Source organism: Homo sapiens, chromosome 6, assembly GCF_000001405.40.
Source record: "Homo sapiens chromosome 6, GRCh38.p14 Primary Assembly".
NCBI classification, from domain to species: domain Eukaryota; kingdom Metazoa; phylum Chordata; class Mammalia; order Primates; family Hominidae; genus Homo; species Homo sapiens.
Genome location: NC_000006.12, coordinates 107,269,137 through 107,275,335, shown reverse-complemented (window position 1 = coordinate 107,275,335; position 6,199 = coordinate 107,269,137). Strand labels below are relative to the sequence as shown.

The window sequence follows — 6,199 nt, the reverse complement described above, 5'->3', positions numbered from 1 at the left end:
CACAATTTTTTCACCTATTAAAAGACGTTAATAATACCTATCATGAAGTTGTGATAATGTTTAAATTTTTAGTAATTACCTGTTGATTTTTTCTGACTATAAAAGTAATACTTTTGTCATTGTACAAAATAGACAAACTACAGAAAAGTATAAAAAAGGAACAAACATCTGCTGAAATTCCCGTGTAATAAATATAGTTCTATACTACAAGCTCCTCAGGGGCCTTCTCTATATTATTTGCTACTATAGGTTTCTCTCTTCATTCTTATTCTGAAAGTTAAAAAGTCCTTGAAGGAAGAAACCATATTGTATTCATCTCTGTAAACCCCATAGCTTTGCATTTATGATTAAAAGAGATAATGTAGCTAGGAGCAGTGGCTCACACCTGTTATTCCAGCACTTTGGGTGTCCGAGGCAGGTAGATCACCTGAGCTCAGGAGTTCAAGACCAGCCTGGGTAACATGGCAAAACCCCATCTCTACCAAAAATACAAAAGTTAGCCAGGCTTGGTGTCGCACACCTGTAGTCCCAGCTACTCGGGAGGCTGAAGTGGGAAGATTATTTGAGCCTGGGAGGTGGAGGTTGCAGTGGGCTGAGATTGCACCCCTGCACTCAAACCTGGGTGACAGAGTGAGACCCCATCTAAACAAAAAAAAAAAAAAAAAAAAGAGAGAGAGATAATGTATGTAATGCCCTTAGACTAGTATCTGGCACAGATTATATTCTCACTTAAATTGGAATTCCATTAGACACTACTAAGGAGTCTTAGAAATTTTGAAGTTATGAGCGTGAGGAAAGTATACCAAGAGCACAGTATCTAAATGGAGCTGTGGAAGGTGGCCCTCCACTGGTCAACTTCTGTCTGGGATATCCTAGTGACTTGTGGGGAAGAGTGAGGAGTATTACAGAGAAGGAAGGTGTCAACATCTTACAGATCCCAAACTGCTCAGTAGAGAGACCTCTATTTAAAGATTCATTAGAAAGATATAATCCAAAAAAAAAAGTGGGGGGCAACCTATGGAATATTTTATTGTTGAAAACTGAAATCAGACATTAGTGATAAAATGGTGTTCTTGATATTCTAACAAATCTTACCTTTATGTTTTAGTCAAAGAAGTTTGGCAGAGATCACGGAGCTAATTCATATTGCTCTCCTTGTACATCGTGGGATAGTAAATTTAAATGAGTTGCAATCATCTGATGGTCCACTGAAAGACATGCAATTTGGAAATAAAATTGCTATCCTGAGTGGAGACTTTCTTCTAGCAAATGCCTGCAATGGACTAGCTCTGCTACAGAACACCAAGGTAAAATTGGGCAGGGTTTTGTTGTACCTGAATGGCTTCAGGTAGCAATTAGTTGGCTGCTGGAGCTGCAGGTCTGTGTGCCCGGCTGCCCCAACTCCCCTCATGTACATGCTCAGTAAACAGTAAAACTGTGATGAACATAATGATGGCAGTGTTAGTACCAGGCAAAGTGTAAATGCTAGGAAAGAGTTTTGAGAGTAATTTTTTTTCTGATTATGGATGAAATTATTAATTATAGGATAGGGTTAAATCTTCAAAACAAAGAAAATGTAAGTAAATATTACCTATAATCCCACTATCCAGAGATAATCACTGCTGGTTAATATCTTGATGTATTTCCTTGTAGTCTTTTTTTGTTGTTCATTAATGCCTTTATATATGTAATTTTTTGTAATATATATGAGAACTTGCTATGTATAAGGTTTTTTAATCCTGCCTATTTTTTCTTACATAATATTATGATGCGAGCATCTTCCCATGGTTATAACTTTTTCTATAATATCCAGTCACTTAGATATAATACCACTTGTTTATCAGATTCCTCATTGTTGGACATTTAGGTTGCTTCTTATTTTTACTATCATAAGTAGATCTTCAGTAAAGATCTTTGCATATCAATTTTCCCTATTCCAGATTATTTCTTTAAGATAAAGACCTAGAAGTGGTTCAAAGGGTTAAACATTTTTAGTGTTTTTTTTTTCCTTTTGTTATAGAGACATGGTCTCACTGTATCACCCAGGTTAAAGGCCAGGTGTGGTGGCTCACTCCTGTAATCCCAGCACTTTGGGAGGCCGAGGCAGGTGGATCACCTGAGGTCAGGAGTTCGAGACCAGTCTAGCCAACATGGTGAAACCCCGTCTCTACTAAAAATAAAAAATTAACTGGGCGTGGTGGCGCGTGCCTATAATCCCAGCTACTTGGGAAGCTGAGGCAGGAGAATCGCTTGAACCCGGGAGGCAGAGGTTGCAGTGAGCCAAGATCATGCCACTGCACTCCAGCCTGGTAGGTTGAAGTGAGCTGAGATTGTGCCACCGCACTCCAGCCTGGGCGACAGAGTGATACTCCATCTCAAAAATAAAAATAAAAATAAAAAAAATAAATAAAGTGCAGTAGCATAATCATAGCTTACTGCAGCCTCAAACTCCTGGGCTCAAGCGATCTCTTACCTCAGCCTCCTGAGTAGCTGGCTGGCTAATTTTTAAATTTTTTATAGAGACAGAGTCTCACTGTGTTGCCCAGGCTAGTCTTGAACTCCTGGCCTCAAACGATCCTCCCACCTCAACCTCCCAAAGTGCTGGGATTAAGGCATGAGCCACCACGCCTGGCCACATTTTTAGTATTCTTGATACATATTGCCAATCTGCTTTCTGGAAAGGTTATAAAGGTATTTCTTGTTATATCAGTTAGGATTAGGTTTGATTATAAGATAACAGTGCCCTATAAGATAGGAATGTATTTTTTCTCTCATGTAAAATCATCTAGGAGTAGGCAGTCAAAAGTTGGTATAGTGAGTCTGCAAAGTCAGGGATCCAGGCTCCTTCTGTCTTACTGTTTTGCCATCCTTATCTTACCACATCATGGCCCGAGGCATTTGCCATTATGGCTTCCCTCCAGTCAATAGAACGAGGAAGGACAAAAAAAGGGCAGATCTCCTTCCTTTGAAGGTTGGATCAGTGTACATCCTAGTTTGCTAAAGGAGAGTCTCAGTGTAAGCCAGCTATCCTGGGATCCCATCTGATTTAGCATTTATCCTGAATTTTTCATTTTTTAACAGAGAATTATTACTAATAATTATATTAGAATAAGCTGGGATGAATTTGGTAGATCCCCACTTAGTACTTCCAGCCTCTGTTTTTGTTTTTGTGTAATGTAATGTAATAGTATTCTGAGACCCTTACACAGTGGAGAGAGTTCTCATTATCAGTTGTCCTTTTTTTTTTTTTTGTTTCTTTTTTTTTAATGTTTCTTTTTTGAGACAGGGTCTTACTCTGTAACCTAGGCTGGAGTGCAGTGGCGTGATCACTGCAGCCTCAACCTCCCTGGTTGAAGCAATCCTCCTACCTCAGTGTCCCAAGTAGCTGGGACCACAGGTGCATACAGCCATACCTGGCTAATTTTTTGTATTTTTTTTTAGAGACGGGCTTTTGCCTTTCGCCATGTTGCCCAGGCTGGTCTTGAACTCCTGGGCTCACGAAATCCTCCTGTGTTGGCCTCCCAAAGTGCTGGGATTACAGGCATGAGCCACTGTGCCCAGCTTCATTTTAAGTTGTTAGGAAATCTGAAAGATACCAGAAATAACTTACCTCTTTTCCCAGCCCTTTCAGACACAACTAACACTTCCCAATCAAGGACAGAATGCAGGGCAATTGCTAATACAGTAAAGTGCACTCAGACACAAATGTCTAGGGGCAGCTAACTCTTTCCTGTATCAGGTGGTGGGAGAAGCTGGCTGTGTAGTGTGTCACCCAATTGTACTGTAGCCCATGCATGGCCTGCAAGAGTCACAAAGCTGCCAGATACCAGTTGATAAGTTCAGTGGGAAACAGTAAATTATAGGTTTGGGTGTCTGTAAAATATATATGGGAAATCAAGGCTGATCAGCTCTGCTAGGGAGCAAGTAGAGTGTAGAATGAGCACACTTGCTTGTACAGTGTAAATCTATAACTATTTTATTGCTTGGCAATACTTTGTTTTTGCAATAAATCCTTTTGGCAGCAGTAAACTGAAAAAACTAGAAGTATGTGTTTCATTTTTTTAAGTATTGATTTTTTTTCTTAAGAAAGTTAATAAGGAATGTATATTAATAACTTGAACAAAATGTTTGTTGACATTTACCAACCACTGTGGAGGCCATAGTGGTATCTATCATTGACCACATGAAAACAAGAAGAGTAAAGTCTGCTGAAGAAGTGTCAGGATCTACTTTATGCAGTTGCAGAAGGTATATATGCATACGACTCTGCAACATAACTTATATTTAGAGAAATGACTATGCTAAGTGATTGCACTGATTATCAACTACAAGTGTTTATGTGTATATAGGAAAAGGGAAGCAATAGTTCTTTTGCATCATTGTCAGTAGAAGAACTTTGAAAGCAGTTAAATAATTCCAGTTTTAGTTCAGTGTCATCAGGTATTTCAAGTAAGTAAATCATTTAAGTTAATTCTACAAATGGTTTGGTTTTTTTCTTTCCATTCATTCATGGGATTAAGGTAAAGTTTTTGGAAGTATATTCTATTAAACATAAAGCCTTTGTGAGTGAGATTGGAAATTCAGTTTAAAAGTTCAATATAGAAAATAAAATTATTAGTTTATAGTAACAATAGAAGTACAAATTTTGGTGAAGCACAGTGTTGTGGTAAAAACAATGTTTTTACTACGTTAAGCAACCTGTGGAGTAGTTGACATTGGTTGTGGCACACACACAATTGATCATTACATCTAAACAAGCACCAAAAGTCTTCTATTTTAATAGAAGCTATTGTTACATCAAAATTTACAAATATCTGAATAGTCACAGTCACTGAACTATATGATTTGGGAGTTGTAACTGATGTCAGATAAAAAATACACTTCAGGCCAGGCACGGTGGATGTCAGATGAAAAATACACTTCAGGCCAGGCACGGTGGCTCATGCCTGTAATCCCAGCACTTTCGGAGGCTGAGGCGAGTGAATCACCTGAGGTCAGGAGTTCGAGACCAGCCTGACCAAGATGGTGAAATCCCGTCTCTACTAAAAATGCAAAGAACATTAGCCGAGTGTGGTGGCACATGCCTGTAATCCCAGCTACTTGGGAGGCTGAGGCACGAGAATCGCTCGAACCTGGGTGGTGGAGGTTGCAGTGAGCCAAGATCACGCCATTGCACTCCGGCCTGGGCAACAAGAGCGAATCTCGGTCTCAAAAAAAAAATAATAATAATACACTTCAGCAGAGCAGTATGTGCCTTTTCTCTTTGTTGTCTGTCGTTGATCAGATTTTAGAAATCTTTATAAATCAATCTGTGCCCCCAACAGTGGTATTGAACTTTATTCTAAATGGGTCATCAAAAGTTTGGTGGCATTTGGGCACGGTGGCTCACGCCTGTATTTCCAGCACTTTGGGAGGCTAAGGCAGGCGGATCACTTGAGGTCAGGAGTCTGAGACCAGCCTGGCAAACATAGTGAAACCCCGTCTCTACTGAAAATACAAAAATTAGCCAGAGGTGGTGGTGCATGCCTGTGATTCCAGCTACTCAGGAGTCTGAGGCACAAGAATCACTTGAACCCAGGAGGTGGAGGTTTCAGTTCAGTGAGCCCAGATCACGCCACTGTACTCCAGCCTGGGTGACAGGGTGAAACTCTGTGTCAAAAAATACTACTACTACTACTACTAATAATAATTGGCAGCATTTCGTTCAACATCACTTGAGAATCTTAAATCAAGTATTCAATAAACAGAACACTACATGAGACTTTTAGGGAATTACAATTAATGAAAACAAAACAAAACTTCCATTAGAATTTTTCCTGACAAAAGCAAAGAAGGAATGATATAAACAGTAACAACTCAAACGATATACAAGATTAAAATTTTCAGTTCTGTAGTTGCGATTTGAAATGTCTCACCTTGCAGGAAGAATCTTGGTGGTGCTCCTACTTTGAATAAATTGCACACACACACACACACACACACACACACACACACAGACACACGAAATGAGATTGAGAAGGCCTAGATTTTGCACCATCTAAATTTGGCAAAACATTGAAAAGAATCATAGAGACAACTTATTTGACAAGTTTTGTCTTATAAAAATATTTGTTAGGCCAGGTGCAGTGGCTCACGCTTATAATCCCAGCACTTTGGGAGGTTGAGGCAGGCAGATCACCTGAGGTCGGGAGTTCGAGAC

General features: G+C 39.5%; 1 protein-coding gene across 15 annotated transcripts in view; it reads left to right on the top strand.

Annotated features, from left to right (window-relative positions):
• Positions 1-6,199, top strand: part of PDSS2 (decaprenyl diphosphate synthase subunit 2) — a 307,003-nt gene that overhangs the window by 184,229 nt on the left and 116,575 nt on the right. For all 15 annotated transcript variants that reach the window (XM_011535960.4, XM_047419100.1, XM_047419098.1 and 12 more), the window contains one exon: positions 1,109-1,307. In XM_011535960.4, coding sequence (XP_011534262.1) covers positions 1,109-1,307 — 199 coding nt within the window. The remainder of the gene's footprint in view (positions 1-1,108; positions 1,308-6,199) is intronic.